This window comes from Homo sapiens, chromosome 10, assembly GCF_000001405.40.
Source record: "Homo sapiens chromosome 10, GRCh38.p14 Primary Assembly".
NCBI classification, from domain to species: domain Eukaryota; kingdom Metazoa; phylum Chordata; class Mammalia; order Primates; family Hominidae; genus Homo; species Homo sapiens.
The window spans coordinates 65911132-65933345 of NC_000010.11; the positions used below are offsets into that span (position 1 = coordinate 65911132).

The 22214-nt window shown below is 35.7% G+C and overlaps 1 protein-coding gene across 8 annotated transcripts in view; it reads right to left on the reverse strand.

The window, feature by feature from the left end:
• Positions 1392 to 22214, reverse strand: part of CTNNA3 (catenin alpha 3) — a 1851072-nt gene continuing 1830249 nt past the window's right edge. For all 8 annotated transcript variants that reach the window (XM_047425124.1, NM_013266.4, XM_017016152.2 and 5 more), the window contains one exon: positions 1392 to 9486. In XM_047425124.1, the coding sequence (XP_047281080.1) occupies positions 9199 to 9486 (288 nt within the window). In that variant the 3' untranslated portion in view covers positions 1392 to 9198. The remainder of the gene's footprint in view (positions 9487 to 22214) is intronic.

A 22214-nucleotide genomic window follows, 5' to 3' on the forward strand; every position in this document is an offset into this window, starting at 1 on the left:
TTAGAAAGGAAACATGCAGATTTGATCTGCACACCTAACATTCTGTCACTATCAACAACTAAAGGGACAGTGAGAAGGCAAGAATGTGGCAGGAAGGAGAGCATTTCACCTCTTTGTGAAGCTCAGAGTAGCAGATCCCTGTCTCCAGGCTACCTCCCTGAGCCTCAGGGACAAATGACAATGTTGTAAAAGCCTGTGTGTGATCCACTGTACCTAAACCACTCCTCTGTCAGCTCCCTTGGGTTTGACACTCTCTTTGTCTTCCTGACAACTCCCTTTTCTGGCCTATACACCAAGGGAACTTCTCCTTTCTAAAACTAGGAAATTCAGACAAAGTAGGAAGTCAGGGTTACTTGATCAGGGACAGCAGCTTTTCCTCCAGAGGCCACAAGATGGACATGCAGTGACTGGAAGTTACATCTCCGAGTTACTGCTCCTGGATGGAATGTTTAATGGTCCTGCCCAGGAAATGTCAGGGCATCAGCTCAGCCTCTAGGCAGGAACAGACTCTTCTTGCCAAGAGTGCTTTTAGTTCCACTTCCACCCCCAGAGCAAGCATGACAAACTGATCAAGGCAGATAGAATACTGCTGCCAGAGCAATTATGGGCTCCTGGGGTCCAGGACAGAATGAGGCAGAAAGGCAACACCACACTGGCATTTCCATTAGCAGAGTCAGATGGTGTCTGGCAGAACTGAATCAGGGGAAACATGGTCTTTCAGAAGAATCAAGTGACAAAGACAATACTTAGAGACTGCATTTTGGGAACTTGCAGACTGAGACTTCGCTGTAGGTGTTCTGAAGTAGTAAGGGCCCTGAAGGGAGAAAATGATGTGATTGATGTTCTAGAGTAGATAGCAACAGCCTGTGTGACCCCTGGAAGAGGATCGAGAGGCTAACCCCATGGGATTCATACTGAGAAAGGATTATTATCAGCCTAAAAATGAGGAGGCCAAGATGGATGTTAAAAACCCACCAATTTTTAGATACAAGAGCATTGGTAGAACCAATGGTATTCCATGACCACTAGGGAGTATGTGTTCGGACATTCTCAGAAAAGTTATTGATCATTTTCATAAAGTCCTAAGCTAAAGAACAACTCTTGAGCTACACAGAACTATTAAAGGCATGTCTAATGCCCAAGACTAGTGCCTGTATTAGACCAAAAATGCTCATTTAGACTATGAATTTAATTCTATCAGATATGCTTCAGATTACTTGTGTGCATGCAGTAGTTTGGAAAAGTGCCTTCCTGAATTATAAATATAAAACTGAAAGAGGATGAGAGTGAAGGTGACACTTAGAAACACATGGTTGGACTACTCAGCAATTTATTAATCTCCATTTTTTTCATCCCACCCAAGAAATCCGCCACCAAATATCAACATAAAATGCATAGCCAATCTTTTCATTTTTATTGCTTTAACACACATTTTAATTTTCAGTTGAACAAATTCTTAATGAGCTACAGAGTGACATGAGTTGAAATTAGAATAAAGTAAAATAATACTATATAACCAAAACAAACCCAGTGTTACATATGTGAAATAATGCAATTAAGAGCACAACTAAAAAAAATCATTGATTCAGTTAAACACAAAAGACATGCAGGGTCTCAAACAAGGAGTATTTGGGCTTCTATGTCAATGTCATAGGAAAGAGCTTTTTCTATTTCTGGATAAATATTTCATTTTTATTGATTGGCAAAAATACTTTAAGGATAAATATGGACCAGAAAGGCCTACAGTATTTTTGCCAAATTTTATCTATAGCCAAAGCACAAAACTGCTTTGAACTGGTCATTAATATAATGGGCAGTTCATTCAATCATATTCTGTCTCTGCAGAGCAGGGTGAAATGAACAAGCAAGATAGTCAGAAACACCTCAAACGCCACTAAACTTAAGTTCCCAAGATATTGCTGCAATAAACATGACTATTATGAATTGGTTACTTTTATTTCATCTCAGAAAGTCTTAGTTTAAATCTGCTTTCATCCTAAATTATAATGTGCATATTACCTTCAGAGAGGTCACTACATTTAAGCTGTCAAAGTTGTTGTTGTAATACGACATAAAGTAAATGATTTTTTTCCCCCAAGTTGCTATGAAACTAAAACCATAATCAAAATGGAAAACAGGGGCATCTGGAAATCTTTCTCTAGAAGTTTTAATTCATATTTAATCACCCAACTTGCCCAAGAAAATTTTGTTTTAAGCCTCAATTATTAGGTACTAAATTGGGCATAAAATATGTCTACTTCTGTTTTCAGGAACTTGTTAGTCACGGATATGGAGGAGAAATTATTATGCTACCATTTAGGTCTAAGGAAATTTTCTTTGGAGGGACTGTACCACATGAGAAAAATTTGCAAAATCAACAAATAGCACATCTTAACCCTGCAAGACAGTTGCTGAAATTCTCATATTTATATCCCTATGGACACAATGTATACTAACATGTAAAAATACAGCATTATAATGGTATAAGATTTGGCAAGCAATGGAACATGATTTTTATAGTAGTTTAAAATTAATTTTATGTTTAAATATTCAGGAAGGAGGATAGTTCTGTTTAACTGAGAGCAGGGGCTAGCATCTCTGACTTACTCCTTTGCTTTACTAATAAACACTCCACTACAAATCTGGTGTTAAAAGCCCAGGTCAAGGAAATCCCTTAGTAGAAGCTCAACTCTCAGTGAATACCACAGAGAGGTTCAGGTAATTTACACAGATGGGGAACTGATGTGACATACCTAAGGTTGGCCTGAGTCTGCAGAAGCTGGGCTGTCAGAATAGAAAAGCAAGATATCTACAGGCTTTTGAACTATTGATACAACTATTCAAAGGGGGCTTTAAATGTATAAGGAAGTGTCACAGACCTCCAACACCAAATAACCAGAACTAAAAATAACCATCCTTCTTGAAAATGCCAAGGAAATAAACTTTGGAACTGGGAATATTTCATTTGAAATGAAAACACAAGAACTACTCTGCTAATATTAAGTAGCTTTTGTACATGTTCTAAATTGAAGAAACATTTAGACATAATTGTTAGAAATCTGAGCCTTTTTGAAAGAGAATTTTCTCCTTGAGGGCTTTCCTTTCCTACAGTTGGGAATAGGCACCATCATGACTACCAGATACATAAAAGTGAAGATCCCCAATATACACATCCATTGCTCAAACTAGGAATGTGTGTATTTCTTATGTGGCTCCACCGTAAGAAATATCAGAAAGTCATTTAACTCTCCAAGGCCTGAGATTTGAAAGCCTATCCAGCAACATGGGCAAGAAGAGTCTAGCCTTCAGTCGACTCTAAAAAAGGCCATGTAATTTTAAAACACAAAGTTTACCTGTATTCAGGCACATACTATGCACACGTGTGACCTCCATAAAGAAGGAAAGATGTATTTGCTACAGTTTGGGTAAATTTCAAATACAGGGAAACTTTATCCTACTACAATAATCCTTGGCCAACACTCTGCTGCAATCTATAATTTTAAACACAGTCACATGTTAGCAGTAAAAGAGGAAAGGATTGGTGTTAACAAATGGTATTAACCAACCAATACTGAAGATGGGCTGAAACAGGCATTTCATTGAAGCTTTCTTCTCCATGGTAATAAAAGTAATTTGGCAAAGGTTGTCCTCTTATTTCAGATCACGTAAATAACTTACTTCCCATGTACCTGACACTCTACATTCAGTTAATAGAGGTGAGAATATTCAGCTAATTATATATCTGTCTTGAATGATGTAAAATATATATTAATATTTTAAAGCCAGTGAGACTTTGAGCAAGATTCTTATCCCATTTAACCCTCAGCTTCCTTGTCTGTGGAATGATATATATCCTATAGGGTTATTTGGAGGATTGAATAAGATAATAGTTAGCATTTAACACAGAGCTGGCACATGAGGGCAAGGATCACTATTTGTTTTGTTATATGGTGTATCCTAAGAACCTAGAACAGTGCCTGGAACATCACAGTTGTTTAACAAATAGCTGTTAAATATATGAACGTATGGTAACCCAGATTGGCTCTAATATTGGGAAGAATTTCACCTACCATCAGTCAGGAGAATGGCTGAATTTCTGTTTCTCAACTTGCAAACAATATTACTAAATCATGCTCAAAATATGTGTAGTTCATCCTTTTGCCTTCGACACGACTTCACCAAACCACCAAGACAAGTGTCTCATTCTATCCTTAATACTTTCCTCAGGAGGGCTGCCTAATCTTCATAAAACCAAAAAACTCTCCCCTCATCTATGAAAGCTAAATGCTTCTGCAACTACCCCTCTCAGACCCTTCCCTACCTCTGGCACCTTCTTATTTGTTGTGCCTTTAGACTACTCCGTATCGTCTCCATTTTTCTCCAACTTACCAAACTCATATTGAATATCAATCCATGTGTTTTGTTCCCACAAACCAGTGGGGACTGCTAGATGCCATAATGCAGCCAGCAGCCATAAAGCATCTCGTCTCAGAATAAAACTTATGGTCGGCCCCACAGCCCATCTCTTGCCTGCGGATGGGATTCTGGTCAGGTTGAGTTCCATTTGGAGACAGCTCTCTCAATTAACATTACTTTCTTTTAGAGTGTCCAGAAATGGATTCTATCTTGTCTGTTAGGGGGAAAATATTCACATGCAAGAAGACTAGTGTTTTAAACTATTCTTTATTTTGCTTTAATAGAATATATGTTTTTGTTCATATGAATTGGTTAAAAATGCCAAAAAGGTATTTAAAATTTTACTTCTTCTCTTTCTCTTTGAGATGACTAAGATAGCGTTAGTAGCCTCATTCAAAACATTTTTAACTACAACTAGTTTTAATAGCATCCATGTTTTCTTTCCTAATTAAAACCAAAATGCCAAAATAAAAACTCTCAAACTGCTATTGTTATTAGTCCTGGCTTATTTGTTTAGTGGTAAAATGGAAAATACTAATGCTGAACATATCATAATGGTATGGGAAAAGAGTCATAAAGAAAAAAATGGAATTTTCATATAAATAAAAACAGTAACATCTCAGGTGGCAGAAATTTTCCTACTTTACTTAAAAAGAATTATTAAAATAATATAAAATTATATTCTTTTTAACTGAAATATTTCTGGCTTTACAAACAGAAAAAATGAATATTTGATTCCTAAATATACAATAGGCAGGCTGTCTTGGCAAAAAATAGGCCAACAAAAGAAAGTACAGATTTCATTCAAATTCAGATTCTGGTGCCTGCTTTGCCAACCTAAAGAACTACTTACAATGAAAGTGAAAGAGGCTGTTTATTCTGCAATGAGTTCACAAGAGAATGGTGGATATCACCAGGAAAAGTCTCAGATCTTATTCCACTCATACTACCACTATACAAAAATCTGTAGCCATGGGAACCACAATCTCTAGGACAGAAATGAACATTTGATACCAAAATTTAAGAATGTTTTGGGGAATAGAAAGACTAAAGGAATAATGTTGCTGGAAATTAAAATTCATAATTTTGACTAAAACTCTGTAAAATTTATTAGTCAATTTATACCTGGGATAGAGATGAGAGACAGGAGAGAGATATTTTTGGTTCACAGAAGAGGAAAGGGCATTAATTGGAGTAATTTGCTGTGATGGGCAGTCCTGATTGCACTATTTTGGTAGGAAATTGTTAGCAATTAACAGAGGATACCTAGCCCAGAGGTGGGTGAGATGAGAACACCCTCAAAATGAAGGTTCAGGAAGCCGTTGAAGTCACTTACTCTGTTGTTACACATTAGGCTTTTCAGCCACTCATTATTTAATTTGAGGAGCATTAATTATTTGGTCTGAAGGCCCAAGTTGCGCACTTAATTGTATATTCACAATTTTAGCTTGAAATTGAAACCGACTGCCTTTGAAGCTAAAGGTGTTAAGAATGCCAGACTGCAAGAATGGGTGTCTCTGTGTAGCTATGGAGGACCTTATTCCCTGTACATAAGAGATTTTTATGGGGAACAAATATGTTATATTGATCTTATGTTAAAAGATTTCAAAGGCCAGAAGGCACACTTGTGAATGTGAAGGCTATATTGTCTTTTCTAATACATTTGCAATTTGCACTCATATAATAAATAATAAACAGAAAGGAATAATGAACAAATTAGCTTAGAAATTTAGTGTTTGAGTTTTTTCTTGACTCATTCAAGAACTATCCAGAAACTGACTTAGAAACATTTTACTTCAATAATTTTAATTTGTCATAAATTAAAGGGAATGATTTCTATTTCTCACTTTTTATATTTGATAGAAATCTTCAAATTTCTCTAATTAGAAGGCCATTTAGTGGATTATTATTTCGTTTTTTTTTAAATTTTCATTCTAATTCCAGTCTAACATCTGGCAGGGATACTGGTGGGTAACCAGGGATGGAACTGCTCCTGTGGGTGGTAAACACCCCTCTCCTCCCTCTCAAGGAACGTTTTTCCCTATGTAAATTAACACAAATTGATTTCGTTAAAAAGAAAGGTGAGTTCTTATTAGCAGGATCAAGCAAATGTATTATCAGAGGAAGCACTAATCTCTGTGATGAGACATCAAAAGGTACATAGGTGGATCACCAAATTATCACTCTCATTAAGAAATTTCTGGCAATCCTCTGCAGAAGAAATACCTAAATATAAATGTGTCATGCTGATTAGTTTTTAACATAATGGGGAGATTTATTCATATCTTGCTGCTAGTTTTTCTTGCATATAAGCATTTGTTTTATCAGCAGGTTTGAATCAAACTAAATCTTGAAATGCTGCCTACTACAGGAATTCACTCAGGTGGACAGATGCCTTTTTCAGCTCTATGCATCTTGTTTTTATGTCACTATCGATTACCACAGCAGATTAACTCCTAGGATATTCATTGAGTTAAAATTTTTATTGTTTTATTTAATTATAGTTTGCTTTGAGCTAAGCTGAAAATCTGCCTGGGTTAAAGAGGAGAACTTGTTCACATCTCACTTTGGGTAAAAAGTCATTTTTATCAAAGAGATGGAGGTTATTTGGTAATTGTATAATTTCAAGTTATTTCTGTTCTTTTGGTGTCCAATACTGCATGTTCTAAACTCCAACATGTGGAAAGATGATGTTGGGTCCGGTGGACATTAGATTTTCTAAATGAGATGCTTATGATTCTTGTGAATGTGGCTTTAGGAGCTAAGATACACAACTGCTAGTTTGGTGATTTCAAAAAAATTTTCTATACAGCTGGTAGTTTGGTGATTAAAAGAAAATTCCTCTCCCCACTAAATTATAAATTTATACTTCTATCTGGAAGAAGGATATACCACAGATGTCACTCGTGCAACATCTACACTTAGAGCAGAAAATGATGGCAGCATTTCAATAAAAGAAAATCTCTATTTGCCTCAATCATCTAGATAATTCTGAAAAACAGAGTCATCTGAATTCCCTAATTCCCTTCTTCACTGCCTTTTCTTCTGGGCAGTGCATTCTGTTCAGAATAGTTATTGTAGGCCAGTCTATGGTGCAAAACAGGGAGGAGTTTATTGCCTTCACCTCCTAGGAAGTTTTACACTGAGCTCAGGCAATCCAGCTACTTGGAAGATTGAAATAATTCATTACAAGAAATTTAACATTTCCTGCATAATTAATAATGACCTATTAAATAGATCCTTCTTTTCCCATACCATTATGCTTAAGATTCCACACATATCGTACTGTCAATCTTTATGCTTTTCTATGTTTCATGCATCCTTTTACCCAAACTGGTTCTCCTAATATCAACTGGTATTGTATGTGTAAATTTTTTTCTCATCAATCTAAGGTTACATCGTTGCTGAGACGCCTCTCATCAATGGCAATGTTTTAGAAGTAAAAAGGTACAATATAATACTATTATGATAATGTAGAATAGAAAATGTTTTTTAAAGTCTGTGAATCAGAACTCTATGAATGAGAAAAAATGAAAACAAAACTTATGGCCTCCAAAGAGTTTCTGTTAAGGACATTTTTGAAAGACAGAGAGAGGCAGGTCATCAGGGGAGAGAAAAAGAGAGAGAGAATGACAGAGAGAGGTACACTAGACTCTAAGACTATTATGAAGTCCATTATGAACTCAACTAGGAATGAACACAGTGACTGGAGTTGTAAAATGACCCCAGTGACTTTTATTTAAAAGAACGTTATTAAAATCACTCCAGCTTCATTGCCATTAACTGCTTCATAGTTCAATGGTACAGTTCATGCAGTTATATTTTACTCAACGTCAAAAGATTTTTCAAACTGCCATTTTCCTTTTAATTACAATTGCAAGCTGATAAAAATGTATTTTTATGTTTGTAAAAATAGGGTCATACAGAACTTACACTTCTGTTATTATTAATATAACTCACTTTGGGATATAGTTTGTTGTCTCATTTTCCCAATGGGTGATAACTCTTCTTTCACATATGTATTCGGATAGGCCTAACACTCAAAAGTACAGAACTCTCTAACACATTGGAAACCCAAAAGGTGAGTATGTGGCATCAGAACTCATTGTAACCTTTATAATGTTAAGAAAGCATTTTATTAATAAACAAGGTTGACCTTCAAAATCCAGCAAGTAGCCTAACTATTCAAATTTGATTAGTTTATAATGGATATTAGCCTAATAAGTTGACAATGAGTACAGCTATCTAGAGATTAAAAGGTGGTTTTTTTGCTATGGCAGGAATCATACATTTCTGCCTGGTTAGGTGCCAGGTTAGATCAGATAAAGAAAGCATGGAGATTAAATGGGAAAATATTTTATAAAAGTCTTTTGTTTCTATTAAAAAACCAAGTTAGGAGCTCATGTTAGTGTTTTAATTCAAGATAAGGATGATAAGTGTACATGAAGTATTACAGATAAACAGGACTCTCTGGCCTCTCCTGTGTTTATTTGGTAACGAATAGTAGATAATCTCTATGATGGGAAACGCTGAATGACACGTGATAATTTCATTCATTCAACAAGCAAATATTCCTTAACTATTAGGTGCTGACCATACAGAAATGACAGTGATATGATCCCAAATATATATTGCTTTTGTTGATTTAGCGCCCAATATTTTATGTTATTTGTGAGTTAAACACCAAAACTTAGTGAAATTACAGAACTTCTTAAGTGTAAAATAAAGCAGTGTGGTTAGGCAGGATTTTGTCATATAGGCACTATATGTAGAATAGTGGTTTCAGTAGATTTGTCTTCCTCTAAATTCACTCATGACTTGCAATGGATGGATTTTTTTCTTTGCTGAGCCTCGTCTGACAGCTGCACACGTTTCCTCTGGCTTCTCTCTTTTAATCAAGGGTTTTTTTGCAGGAGCCTTCATTCTCCACATCACAACTGGGTGCCGGGGCCCAGCAGGACTCTGGATTCGGATGATCTTGGTTGAGGCAATGTAAGACATTTTCACTGTTTGCACTACAGCATTCATTAAATTTTTGGCTGCTTGGATCAGGGATGTGACACTGTCCAACTGTAGGGAAAAAAGAGAAAAAAGAGCTATTATTCCAGGAGGTTTTGTTAATTATTGCCAAGCGTGGGCATGGTGGCATGTGCCCGTTGCCCCAGCTACTCAGGAGGCTGAGGAGGGAGGATCACTTGAGCCCAGGAGGCAAAGGTTGCAGTGAGCCAAGATGGCGTCACTGCACCGCAGCCTGGGTGACAGTGAAACCCCATATAAAAAAATAAATAAATAATAAAAATAAAAATAACTGAGCCTGATAGTCTATTAATGTCACAATAAGCTGCTCAATATTGTCTATGCCCAAACATAAATCAATAAGTTCTGCCTCATTTTTTTGTATCTAGATGGATAAGTGATTATGTTCAATTAACTCTTATGCTAATTATGTAATGTGTTTTGCAAATAACCCTAATACGCCAATTTAAATAGAATCCTGTTAAATATTATCCTGTATAAATCTTACTTTTATTATAGTGTCTCTTCTGTGCTTTGTGGTATTATATGGTTTCAGTTTAACAACGGTACAAATTGGACCAATTCTACAAATGTTTACGGATAAAGGACTTGCTCTTAAAAACATATCAATAGCCATTTACTACAAAAAGGTGGAGTTTAGCAACAATAAAATACATTTTCTGTTTCCTCATAAAATGTTAACATTTCGTCCATGTAAGTAGTTTGTATAGAATACCTGGATCTTTTCTCAAAAACACTAAATACCTATAAATCCTTGACAACTATGTCAATTTGGAATGTCTGCTAGCAAACCCTTGCCAAAACCCTATTGTAATTAGTGATAGCTAAGAGGAATATTCAAAAAGACATGGTACATATTCCTTCTCTTGCTTTTGGAAGTTTCTCACAGAGATTGTGTCAAAACACTAGAATGCTTTCTACTCGTAGGACACTAGTCTAACTCCCTATAGTTTGGATTCAAGACTGTTACCAGACATACGCCTTACATGAGGATTCTAAGCCTACGTGAACCTCACTTCCACTGGTGTGGATCTCACTTTCTTGCACCTGGTCTGTCACCTGGGAAAGCAGCTTCCCAATCACAGGGCAGTGTGAACTGCCATGCCAACTGCTTCTTCTGAGACTCCTGCTGAGAGAAAAACCTGATGCTGCTTGGAAAGATATATGGTCTGTCCAGTAACCTTTTTGGTAAATTGGTACCAAATGTAGCCTATGATCTTGAGTCTCAAGGTGTACCTGAATTCAAAGACCCCTGTTGGATGTTGGTCCTGCACAAAAGCAATTTTTGAAAGACAAATGTCAAGAGTTTGGTTCCAAGTGTCAGAAGAGCTTAAAATAATTGCTAATATCTATTATATGCTGTAGTATGCAGTTGACATAAAGTAACTCATAGCAACCCTATGAGGTAAGTACTCTTATTATCTTCATTTTATGGATGAAGAAACAAAGGAACTGGAAGGTCTGGTGACTTGCTCAAAGTAACACAGATATTAGATAGTAGGGCTGGAACTGGAACCAAGTAAGTCTGGTTCTACCTTGCGTTTTTTCTCATTACATAAACCTGCCTCCAAGAATATCCTACTTCCAATATGTGATTATTTTTCGATATCAAATAGTTAAATAAATTATACTAACCTTAACAGAGTGTCTAAAATTTTAAAGTTGACTAGCCAGCAACTCTGCTTTTAAGAAGCTTGCTCTTATTTTTGTAATGCATGTTGCTACCAGGAGCAATAGAGTATCTTATTTGCCAATGCATTTTGTTAGGATTGTGGTTTGAAAATTTATATACTAATTTCCAAGTTGTGTTTCTTTGGAAGAGCAAATAGAAGTACTCAGTCACCCTTATAGGCCCCAAACCATTTAAAGACATTTAGATTAAGACTATTTCATAACAAAACATTTTTAAATTTTAAAACCTGGGTCTCAATACACATATCAATAAGGCAAAGAAGAACCATAAACAAATCACATTATAGGTTCTAGGACATGGAAGTACATAACATTTATCTTTAAATCTTTTAAATGTGTCAGTATAAATACAATCCTGATTAACCAAACTTTTTTTTCTTATTCTCCAATAAAATTAAGTCAATTTGTTTGCTTGGTTTTGCAAAAATAACAGGATTTGATCCTAGGACTCCAGAGTTTCTTCTCAATGTAGTTATTTTTAAAGTTGTATTCGTTCATTTACACACTACTACAAAGATACTACCCGAGACTGGGTTATTTATAAAGGAAAGAGGTTTAATTGACTCACAGTTCTGCATGTCTGGCAGGGAGGCCTCAGGAAACTTACAATCATGGCAGAAGGGGAAGCAGACACATCTTACATGGCAACAGGAGAGAGACAGCAAACAAAAGCAGGGAAAACTGCCTTATAAAACCATCGATCTCATGAGAACTCACTATCACGAGAACAGCATGGGGGAAACTGCCTCCATGATCCAGTCACCTCCCTCCCTCAATATGTGGGGAATTACAGGTCGCTCCCTCACACTTGGGGATTACAATTGAAGATGAGATTTGGGTGGGGACACAAAGCCTAACCATATCAAAAGTAATCAGTTAAACTATTTGGAAATGAAGTTAGCATAGGCAATGTCAAAGGGCATATGTATATGTAATGGCAGATTACAACTGACAGCATAAACTATTTCTAAAAAGACTTAAGGATATTTGTAGTCTTTTTAACTTATAGGTGCCATTTGCACCTCAAGATTGACCTAATGGTAGTAGTTTTATGCCACAGTAAATGCTTAAATATATTTTCTGTAACCAAAATGCATTAACTTATTCAATGTTTTTATGATCTACTCTGAATGTCTCTTTTAAGAGCTAATTTTATCCCAATACTGGCTTAATACATTCTTTTGTTTCTGAACAGATTTTTAAAAGAACGGTTGGCATTGAGAGCATTCTCCCTTTTCAGATGCATTCAAAAATGCTAAACAGCCAGGGTGGCTTCACAGGCAAATCAGATAAGGAGCTTTGTTAAATCCAGGCAAAGTGGTGTTGCATCTCCAAATTGAAATTGTCAAGCTTCTAATTAAATTGAGAAGGTAGTTCATTCTTTGGATATGAAGAATCATTCCAATGGGCCACTGATATAATTGGCACAGTAGATTTGTCCTTTGTCAATGTTCCGTTAGAATGTGACAACAAAAGACAACAACTTAAGTTGAAAGGGGAGAAATCAATGCATGAAATAACTAAAAGAAAAGTAAATGTAACACTACAGAAAGGGCCATACATAAAAGGAAATATGACATTTATTCAGTTATAATCTTGTCCTGTCAAAAAGCATCTATAAGATGCTTTTTTTCCTAAAGCTAATTTTTTTCTGAAGGAGATACTCTAGGCCAGAAACATTTTATATCCCGTAAAAAGAAATAATCACAAACAATGCCAATTCAGGTGGCTACTCAGAATTCCTTTTACTTTTATTTAAAATGACCTATTATAAAAATATACATATTGGTAATAATCCTAATATTTAGCTATCCTTCAACCATGTTGACTTAAGGCAAATGCTTAGCTGAAGAACCAATTTTCCAAAATATTACAGCCCTAATTAAACAGATTCAGAAAAATTAGTATATTCTTTCCCATGTAGAGCCAGCAAGAGTGGGTTAGGTATGGCATGGTTCTCTCAACACCAGTGTTTCAACCTTAGCTTCCTCTTCTCAGCACCATCAATCAGGACACTGAGATCTGCCCTCTCCATAGCGGGCTGTATAATAATATTAAACCCTGCATCTTGATTATGCTTCAGGATCTATGAGCTAAGAGTAACAAAGCACCAGCCTCCATCCTTGATCCTACACTTATGTCTTTCTTGACCATAAGCAAGGAACAACTAGGCTGCGTGAAACTAAAAGACCAAATGACATTAGTTTTACAACCCATGCAGAGCTTCCAGACCACAGATATTTCCACGTACCTATAATTTTCAACTCTTTCAATCTCGATCATTCTACCATTTTGATAATATTTGGCAATATTTAATATTTCTTAGCTCACTTCTCTCTCTACTACAGATGTCTTGCAGAACAAAATTATCCATTTCCCTAACACTGAGCCAACAGGTGACTGTCTACCATTTTTAGAGAATCCCCTTGTATTAGTTTGTTCTCACGCTGCTAATAAAGACATACCTGAGACTGGGTAATTTATAAAGGAAAGAGGTTTAATTGACTCACAGTTTCACAGGGCTAGGGAGGCCTCACAATCATGTCTTACATGGCAATCAAGGCAAGAAGGAACAAAGTCATGTCTTACATGGTGGCAGGCAAGAGAGTGTGTGCAGAGGAACTGCCCTGTTATAAAACCATCAGATCCTGTGAGACTTATTCACCATCATGAGAACATCATGGGAAAAACCTGCCCCATGATTCAATTACCTCCCACTGGGTCCCTCCCATGACACATGGGGATTACTACAATTCAAGATGAGTTTTGGGTAGGGACACAAAGCCAAACCACAACACCCTCACTGAACAAATTAGTTTCTAGATAAATTAATGGTCCCCAACCTGAAACTAACAGAAAATGCATCTGTGTGTTTTTAGCTAATTCTTGTATCCATTCTACCCAAACACTAGTCTAAACTTCCACTTTCATCAAACCTCTAGCCCCTCATATTCCCACTTGTTCTGCAGATTACTTCACTTACAACAAATATGAAATAAGCAAACAGACAACAACAATAAAATCGAAACAGTAAAAATGAAACTGTCCCCAACTTCTATCTTTCATTCTTATCCATTTCTATTAAAATGAAAATTATCTGGTTCTCTTCCTCTCTACCTTCTTGCAGACTTTGCACATTTAATAACTTCTTTCTTCTAATATATCTTTTCTTTTTTTTGAGAAGGGGTCTCGCTCTGTTGTCCAGACTGGAGTGCATTGGTGTGATCTCAGCTTACTGCAACTTCCACCTCCTGAGTTCAAGCAATTCTCATGCCTCAGCTCCCCAAGTAGCTGGCATTACAGGTGCATGCCACCATGCCTGGCTAATTTTTCTGTTTTTAGTAGAGACGGGTTTTCACCATATTGGCTAGGTCAGTCCCCAACTCCTGACCTCAGGTCATCCGCCTTCCTTGGCCTCCCAAAGTGCTGGGATTACAGGCATAAGTCACTGCACTTGGCTCTTCTTGTAATATATCTTTATTCTATTCCTTTCTACTGACTTTTTCACTGTAGTATATAAGTGTTTATAAAACCATATCTTAAAACATAGCCAGACTTATTAAAAGGTTATCTATTATCCCTAAAACTATTTTCCTCACTTATCACTTCTTAAGCCATCTGATTCCTTTCATATAAATGCTTCCCCTTTATATATATGTATGTATACACATAATATATAAAATGACACATATATATCAAATATGTGATAGGATATATAATCAGACATCTTATATATTAATATGTAATGTATGCTAGATGTATTATATAATATATAATAGATACTAAATATATAATAGATTACATACATGTTAAATATATAACATATATGTGAAATTTTTCAATTGGTAACCTGCATAACTGTTTTCTTTCAATCAAATCACATTTATAAGATCAATTATTTCTCATTCTTGAATGCTTAATTACATATAAATATCACAGTTTATCCATTCTACTATTAATAGGCTTTTAGGTAGTTTGGAGCTACTTAAAATATATAAATATAAAATAAATAGGAACTTATGAATATTCTAGTATGTGTCTTTTGGTGAACAAATGTATACAATTTTATCAAGTATGTACCTGAGAGTGCCACTGTGGAATTATGAAAATGCATATATTCAGTTTTATTGGATAATTCCAGGGATTTCCAAAGTGCTTCTGCAAATTTATATTTCTAGCAACAATATATGAGTGTTCCAATTTTTTTTTTTTTTTTTGAGATGGAGTTTCACTCTTGTTGCCCAGGCTGGAGTGCAATGGTTCAATTTTGGCTCACTGCAACCTCTGCCTCCCGGGTTCAAGCGATTCTCCTGCCTCAGCCTACCAAGTAGCTGGGATTACAGGCATGTGCCACCACACCTGGCTAATTTTGTATTTTTAGTAGAGACAGGGTTTCTCCATGTTGGTCAGGCTCGTCTTGAACTCCCAACCTTAGGTGATCCGCCTGCCTTGGCCTCCCAAAGTGCTGGGATTACAGGCTTGAGTCTTCCAATTGTCACACATCTTCATCTACATTTTTTTTCCCATATTTTTCACATTAGGCATTTTTGCAAGTATGTAGAGATATTATATTGAGGTTTAATTGGCATCTCATTAATTACTAATGAAGCTCAGCATATTCTCCTATGGTTACAGCTTTGACTTGCACATACAGACATTGTTCAATTCAATTTTTAATAATCCTTATATATTTTTCTATAGTCTTTTAGATTTTCTATGTATGAAAGCATATCATCTATGAATAAAGACAGTTGTATCTTTACTTTTTCATTTTTTTTAATTTTTGTTCTGTATTATTCCACTAGACAGAAATGCCAGTATACAAGTGAGCATACAAGGTATTTTTGAATCATACTCTAACTCAGGGAGAATGATTTCAATATGTTTTCACTGATTTTTTAGTTAACTCACGTATTAAACGAGTCTTTAAAAATTTTTCTAGTAAATGAGGACTTACTAGTCTTCCTTTTACTATTGATTTCTAACCTAAAATACTATTGTGATTAAAGAATAAGCTCTGAATGATTTAAAACATTTTATATTTGTGGATGCTTTGTTTATGACGTATAATCAAATATCATATGCTTTAGGTACACTAGAAAGGAATGTGAATTCTAGTATTGTTACATCAGTGTTCTATTTATGACAACTGGTTTCCTTAAGCCTATTATCAGTCAAGATCCTTCCCACCCCAGGTATCAGGCATCCACAGATCTGCTATAGAGCACCACAGATTAGATGTATATTTTCTATAGTTGTATATAAATGGAATTCTATGGTATGTAATTTTTTGTGTGATGTTTCACATGGCATTACATGTGTAAGCTTCACGTATGTTGCTGCATGTACCAGTAGTTTATTTTATTTATTGCTGAGAAGTATTACATTTTATACATATACTGCAATTTGTTAATTCATTATCTTTGTGACTGGCATTTGGTTTGTTTATTTCATTTGCTATAATAAATAAAGTTGTTATGGCATTATTGTACAACTATTTTGTATTGTATGTTTTTATTTCTCTTGGGTAAATAACTAGAAGAAAAACTATGTTCTGTTGTTAAGTATGTTTCTAACTTCATAAGAAATTAACAAACTGTTGACCAAAGTTATTTTACCATTTTGAATTCCACCAGCAATGTATGAGCATTATAGTTATTCTGCATCCTCAGTCACACTTGGTATTTTGATATTTTGATTCTTTTTACATTTTAGGAATTTTGATGAGCATAAAGAGAAATGTCACTGTTTTGTTTTATTCATCTTCTATGGTTAATAATTTTTGTCCTAGCAAAAAATGGCTACTACAATGTTAAACAGATTTTCCTTTATGCTTTCTTCCAGATATTTGAAGTTAGAGATTTATGTTTATGATTATGCTTACTTTGTATTAATTTTTGTATATGGAGTAATGTGCAGTACATTTTTTTCATATACAGATATTGTTCAAGCATCATTTAGTCAAAATGATTTTCTTTTCTTTTTAAATAATCTTGGAATTGCTGTCAAAAATAAATTGATCATTTATGTTTGGCTCTATTTCTGCTTCATTTCTATGTCTATCTTTATACCAGCATCATACTATGACGCTAACATCACTTTCTCAGGGAAGAGTTCCACAATACTAAGACTAGATTGGATCCTCTTTTTTATGTTCTTATAGAAATCTATACTTCATTTAACATTAGATTCATCAGAAGGCAATATGATCCATGTAGGTGGAGACAATGTTCTTTTTTACCCTTTTATTACTTGACACAGTCTACAGGAGATATCTGGCATATGAATAAGTTACTGGAAATATTTCTTATATAAATTGTAGAATTATTAAGTGCAGAAACCACATGCAAAATACTGTCAAAGGCAGACATGAATTCAATTATTCTCTTGTATTCTGCACAAACTGTTAATATTTTCCAGACATTTCATACCCTCACTCCATCTACCAGGAGGTTTCTGGCCTCTAAACATGGCACAAAAACCCTTGATCAAATAATGTTTCTCATTATTTATGTTTAAAACTCAGAATGCAAATCTGTTGGAAGTCATGCTTGTCAGAAAGTTCCAAAGTCCCAAATTCCCACTTTTAGATTATTATTTCTCTTTTTTTTATTATACTTTAAAGTTTTAGGGTACATGTGCACAACGTGCAGGTTAGTTACATATGTATACATGTGCTATGTTGGTGTGCTGAACCCAGCAACTCGTCATTTAACATTAGGTATATCTCCAAATGCTATCCCTCCCCCCTCCCCTCACCCACAACAGGCCCCAGTGTGTGATGTTCCCCTTCCTGTGTCCATGTGTTCTCATTGTTCAATTCTCTCCTATGAGTGAGAACATGTGGTGTTTGGTTTTTTGTCCTTGCGATAGTTTACTGAGAATGATGGTTTCTAGCTTCATCCATGTCCCTGCAAAGGACATGAACTCATCATTTTTTGTGTCTGCATAGTTTTCCATGGTGTATATGTGCCACATTTTCTTAATCCAGTCTATCATTGTTGGACATTTATTAAAAACTAACTTCTTGAGAAATATGTCTTATTGGCCCAAGAATAAAACATCAGTTTTATAGTCGACAACCTGTGTTTGAGTCCCAACTCTGCCACATTCTAAATACAAAGCCTGGGGAGAAATCAATTAGCATATCTTGGGCTCAGTTTCCTTTCAGCATAATTACAATACAAATACATTTCAGTATTGTTTATTAAGATTTAATGTGATAACAGCTAATCTTAGATTTGTGTATACACATACCCATGCACATAAATGAAGCTATAGCTTTTCTTTCTTTCTTTTTTTTTTTTTTGGAGACAGAGTCTCCCTCTGTCACCTAGGCTGGAGTACAGTGGCGCAATCTCGGCTCACTGCAACCTCCACCTTCCGGGTTCACGCCATTCTCCTGTCTCAGCCTCCCTAGTAGCTGGGACTACAGGCACCCGCCACCACGCCCTGCTAATTTTTGTATTTTTAGTACAGACAGGGTTTCACCATATTGGTCAGGCTGGTCTCAAATTCCTGACCTTGTGATCTGCCTGCCTTGGCCTCCCAAAGTGTTAGGATACAGGTGTGAGCCACCGTGCCTGGCCAAAGCTATAGCTTTTATAAGTTTATAAGGTGAACTGGAAAATAATATTACACCAAATTTGAGGATTTTGGTGGAATAAAGCTTAGGACAAATTCTACCCACGGTTGAAAATCCAGAAACAGCACAAGAACATTTCTTGACAATTAGAGGTGAAGGGGCAGGTACTGTGACTCTTTCCCATTATCCACAACACATTTGTGTGCACATGCATGTGCACACACCTGTACTTACACACACATAAGTATGTACACACACTTCACACACTTTTCAAAATAGTGTGAGGTCAGCTCGGTTAATCACAATCCTTTTGGTGAGTGTATCAGTCAGAGCTCAGTAAAAAAAAAAAAAAAAAAAAAAAAAAACAGAAACTACTGTAGGTGCTTCAAACATGGAATTTAACACAAGAAATTAATTATATAGGCAACGGAAAAACTAAGAAGCCAAATGTAAAGCAACCCTCACTTCACCATCAGCCCAAGTTGTTACCATCCTGGTGCTGAAGGAAATGGAGAAGATGAACCCATGCCAAGTAGATAAACTAACACAAATAAATGATTGCTTGTCAGCAGTCTGTCAATTTTCTCCCATTGGTTAACTCTAGCTGAAAATCAGTAAGTAGTCAAAACATCTTGACTAGGAAAATGTTCTGAGAGTAAAAGTAACCATGACTAGCAAAATGGATTTTTAGCCTGAGCATGCATATCCCCTCATTTTTAGTATGTCGTGATTTCATTCTTAAAATCTCATAGTAGTTAATTTTTTTATTTCTGTGATTATAATATTGAGTATGCTTAAAAAATAAAGTTCACACATTCATACTCTCATTCAAAGAAATGTTTGTACAAAATCAACATTTTGTATAAATGTCATCTTCTCTACCTCCATCACTAGAAAAAAAATATGATAGAGGGATGGGCTTTAGCTCTCAGCCCTTTTACATATTCTTGATCCTTAAGATGCTGTCAAATATGCCTATTCATCTCTATACAAATTCCAGTATTTTGTTGGGAAAATAGAGGCTGCAAGAGCAATGGGATGCATAGATTAATTGTAAATTAATACTTATACACATAAGTATATATACTGTACATGTTTATATAAAGAATATGGTTTTCTGATTTTTAAATAAAACATCAGCTTCTCTATTTTTTTGAAATACAGCTGAAGTTTTGCCACATGTTGAAAATTTCCTTCATGACCCAGATTTTTCAGGGTCTTTGAAGATTCAACCATGGTTTAACTTGACCCTATAAACTATGTCATTGGCTCTATTACTAAATTAATAGCTGACTTTCACAATTATCTATAAAGTGAGAGCTATACTGAAAAGATGACTAGCTTTAGACAATTGCAACAACAAAATCAATGATAAAGGTACCAGTTTTCAGGGCTCTTGTGTGCTTTTGAAATACATATCTTTCTCGTAGTCTCATTTAACTGGTAGATGTGGGCACTGCCATAGCGCCTTGCCTGCTAGGAACTACAAACATTACAATATGTACTATGTCAGTTGTTTAAACATAGGTTAAGCAGCAGCAGCATTAACTCATACCATTATTGCTTCATCAACACACTGGAAGTAAAGGGAAGCAGATAACAAGACAGTACGGTGCTTTGGAAATTATTCCAGAGATGCCTGGAGCAACAAGGTTGTTATCTCAGATGTGAGGCATAGAATATGTCAGGTGTAAAAATGCACCCTGAGGAAAACAATTAAAGTGACTGTCTTCTATTTATTTGAGACTCACACACTCTGTACCTAAGTGAATATCAGAGGTTGGAGAAGTGTCTGTGATCGGGAAATATTAAAGAGTTCTGTTCCTGAATTTAGTCTCTCTTCAAATCAGAAGTCTCTCTCTTCCTGCCTAGAGTGTCTTATAAAACACAAACAATCTTCCAGAGTCTTTCTATAGATCAGCACAGCTGTCTCCTAGCTGAGAGGACGAGGTTCAAACACATTTCAGAGCAGCTGGTTGTTGGCTTCCCAGCTGCTTAGGAAACAGGAAATTTTATTGGCAGCAATCCCCAACCTGAAAGCAGTAGGCATCTAAACTAATCCCCAGGCATTGGAATTCAGCAACCAGGAGAAGCAAGAAGCCATGTGTGGTTTTTAATCACTGTGATGTTGGTCTTTGTGTAAATTCAAAGAATAAAGTTCTCAAGGTTACGTGGATGACCATGTAGGTGAGAGGGTGTGTGTAAGCTGAAGGGAGGAGGGAAGTAGAGCTGAGGGGTTAAGAATAGGGACTCTGGAGGTAAACTACACAAATTCAAACAAATTCTTTCTCTCTCTGAGTCTGTTTTCTCCTCTGTTAAATGGAAAACCAACGACATCTACCTTATAGGGTTGTCAGAAGGACAGAACGTGAGGATCCAGATTAATGATATAGCAGAATGGGATGTATATATCCTGTTTCATTGTCATTACTATGATTGTCAAGGTTTTGAAAACAACAATAACACTCCTTTATCAATTGTTATTGCAAAAACTGAAAGAATGCACAAAGCTGAATTTGTAATAATGGCTCCCATTTTGTAAACTTGTGTCAAGACCATATGCTTTAAAATATTATCTATAATCCTAGTAACAGCCTTGTGATGTAGGTATTATTTTTCCCACTTATTAGATAAGGTATCTAAGAACTATGACTCAGATAATTTCAGTGCCTTGCCCAAGGTAACACAGATAGTAAGAGGTAAACTTGGGATTAATTCCAAATCGCCGTAACTCCAAAGCCCTCATTCTCTCAACCATCTTGTGCTGCTACTTTTTTGAGAAAAGGAAATATTTTGTAGCTCATTGAAAAGATCTCTTAATTGGGACTGTTTTGTCCTGGCTAAGGTCTCCCAACACAGTCTTCTTATTCTACCTCTGAATACTTTGTACTAAGATATTCTTCCTCTCTAGTTTGGGAGTCTTTTTAAAATTTTTTAAAAATCCTTCATCATTGAACTTTGTCCCCACTTGGTTTTTCTGAATGGTGCTCCCCAGCTTCTCTTGTCCTCCAGAAACATGTGCCAAATGTGATTGCTCGCTCATTCTACTGCACCTTAATTGCACCATTTCAAGGGGAAGATTGACTTTTGTGATTAAAAACTGCTTGAATTTCTGGGCAATCCTCATATGAACTGACCCCAATTTTTGAATGCTATATGCCTAATAATAGACTGAATGGTGCGTGTATGTATGCGCTTTCCACTTTAGATTCCCTGGGTTTTGTCTTCTCTTTTAAATCTAACTGTTCAATTTGAATATCCATAGATAAAAAAAATACAACAATATAATGATAATAGCACAATGGTCACAAAGAAAGAAGAGGGTTGTCCTCTAGAAGAAAGCTTTTAACCTAGGGGTCCAGACACATTGGTGCATTTCAATTATTTGTGACATGTCTCACAAGAGCCATAATTTGATAGTAATAATAATAGTTCAAATATTGAAATTAGAAAATGATTTACTGTTTTCTCACAAATTGGAGTG